Source organism: Homo sapiens, chromosome 6 (genome assembly GCF_000001405.40).
Source record: "Homo sapiens chromosome 6, GRCh38.p14 Primary Assembly".
Classification (NCBI taxonomy): Eukaryota; Metazoa; Chordata; class Mammalia; order Primates; family Hominidae; genus Homo; species Homo sapiens.
In genome coordinates, this window is record NC_000006.12 from 118,782,332 (window position 1) to 118,785,175 (window position 2,844).

Below are 2,844 nucleotides of genomic sequence, written 5' to 3' on the forward strand. Positions count from 1 at the left end.
TAATTTTTCTCTCAAATGCATATAAAAAAGTTTAAAATAAAGATTTCCAGCCGGGCGTGGTGTCTCTCATGCCTGTAATTCCAGCACTTTGGGAGGCCGAGGTGGGTGGATCACCTGAGATCAGGTGTTCGAAACCAGCCTGGACAACATGGTGAAACTCCATCTCTACTAAAAATACAAAAATAGTCAGATAAGGTGGGACGCGCCTGTAACTTGAGAGGCTGAGACAGGAGAACTGCTTGAACCCGGGAAGCACAGGTTGTAGTGAGCAGAGATCGCGCCACTGCGCTCCAGCCTGGGCGACAGAGCAAGACTCTGTCTCAAAAAAAATAAAATAAAATAAAATAAAAATAAATAAAAGATTTTTTCTTCTCTTCTAGAACTGAAAAGCCATCATGCAGTGCTGTTCCCCAATTCAAAACACAAGTTCGAATCATCTTAGGCTCAAACTGAGAACTGGCATTAGTCCAGTTAAATTAATCTGCAAGTTGCTCCGAAGTGGGGAAGCGGGGCAGGATGGCTTACATCTTAAATGGACAAGTGTTGGACAGCAGAGTCCATCTCCCTGGAGTTTATCTTTGATAACAGATTTCTTCTGAAGAATAGCCAAGTTTGTGATTTTGTTTTTCAAAACTCTACTTCAGCAACATGTGAAGAAAAGAAGAGGCTATGGAAACACATCTGATTCCAGATATGATCATGGAAGACAGCCACCAGGAAACCCTCTGGGGAAAACAGGTCAAATCAATCATCTGCATCTCCCCAGTCCTCCCCCAAAGGCTGGTGGATGAGGAAGGTAAATATCTACTCTAAGAAATAGACAACTGGACATGCACATTCACAGTAGAGAGAAACCACCAAGGAGCGGAGGGCTGACCATGCTGGACAAGTAGATGAATGCATACATCTAAACAAGGATTGCTCTGGGTCTTCACAGATTAATGAGATCATGCTGGGAATTCCCTTTGCAGGGAACTGGCTAACTGGCATGCAGTTCTATAAATGCACATCTGTCTCATTATCTTTTTTAATATACTTTACTGAAGTATTCATATAGTTCTAATAAGTAAATATTTTTAGCTTGCAAAACTGACTCCTCATCTTTATATAATTAAGTTACAAAAAACTCTGAATCTGAAGATGATAAAAGCCTATGTATTCAGTACTGTTAGTGTCCGTGCCACCTTTTTCAGCTTTTGAAATATTGTTCATTGTTAATTTGTTCTCATTTATAACTAAGTCACATTGTATTTTTTAAAATTAAAAACAAAATAATCTGCAGCAGATATAACCAAGCTTGAGATTATGTTCAGCTCTTCAGTTGCAGACTAAACAATCTGTGGGTGAACACACCTGAGCTGGGGTGTGGGGAAGCCACACAAAACCAACAGTTGCCTTGGACTTCAGGGTCCAAATGCATCTTTAAGAGGGTTGGCAAACTCACTTTTGTTATTTCTCAGTCTGCTGGATTCACAGTATGAAGACATAGCTGACAATTCTGAGCTTTATCAAATTTACAATTTCTGAGCTTTATCAAGCATTATTCATTTGTTTAAATGATCCAGAAATCTACAGCCAGATTACTGAATATTTAATATTTAGGAAGTTGAGTTGATTATAGACAAGACGACTGACTTGCAAAAATGTACTTTGCTCTTGTTATTTGACAAATATAATTGGCTTCTCCTGGCTGGTAAGGAAATGGTCCGTTGTGAATGTGGAAAGCGGTGACATTTGTGTAAGATGGGCTCTCAGGGCAGCAACCAGATGGCTCATTTCTGCTGACAAGTGAGATCCTTGCTAGACTGTGTGTGAAGATATGCACGTGTTACTGGAATTTTTGTTTTACCAGAGAGAATTAGGAAATATTTACCAAATGGATTTTCTGTGTATTTATATTTATTAGCACAGAGTGTATAAGGTCATAAAATCAGTCATTCATTCAGTAAATATTCTGTGTGAGGCCCTGTGCTGTACTGATACCAAAACATTTAAGCATAGTGAATACATCTGCTTAATAAAAAATTATGACTCATCCTAAAGACAGAATATTTAAAATAACTGTCCTATTGTGTGGTCACCTTATGTAGAGGACATAAATCCTATAGTTATCTGCAGCTCCCAGTATTGCAAAGTCTATGCAAAAATGCAAAGTAAAACACACACACACACACACACACACACACACGCTTTATGGGAAAGGAAAAGGAAGCTAGGTCTCCCTCTTTAATTAAAGAATATATTCTCTAACCTTGTAGCTATTTGAAAGCTAATTTAAGCTCTGAAAGCAAAAAAAAAAGGAAGACTCATCTATTAAGTGATCACTGCCATGCCCCAAGGCAACTGTAGATCCCAAATGTAATCATTTAAATGTCAGCATTTTCCTTCCCCTTTTCTGCAGTGATACAGAGAGCTCCATTGTCTATTCTCTCAGGCAGCTCATGCTGGCAGATTCCACCTGCAATCACACAGTGCAATTCTCCTTACTTGGGAATGGGAGTCTCGGGGGAGGACAACTTGGCTCTGCCAGTTAGTTCAGCTCACACAGCTCTAGCCTGCTAGGAGGAGAATGGGCTCAGCTCGGGGCCCAGCACTGAGTGGGAGGAGGTCTCAAGCCTGAGGTCCGGCCCTCATTGGGATCAGAGCCCACTGACCCACACTGCTGACCTTGGCACTGGGCGGAGGCAGGGCTCCCAAACATCACTAGGGGATTTCCCTAGGACAACCAGGCCCCTGTCTCTGTGTGCTGAAAATCCATACTAGAGGGGCTCCTCCGGGATGACATCTACAGATGATCAAAGGAAACTGAGTCCTAAACAAACAGAATTTGTATGGAAGGAAAGA

The 2,844-nt window shown here is 41.0% G+C and overlaps 1 pseudogene across 1 annotated transcript; it reads left to right on the plus strand.

The window, feature by feature from the left end:
- Positions 1–376: 376 nt before the first annotated feature.
- Positions 377–1,089, plus strand: SELENOKP3 (selenoprotein K pseudogene 3; annotated as a pseudogene). The gene has a single exon (NR_037662.1). The product of NR_037662.1 is annotated as a selenoprotein K pseudogene 3 (transcript).
- Positions 1,090–2,844: the final 1,755 nt, after the last annotated feature.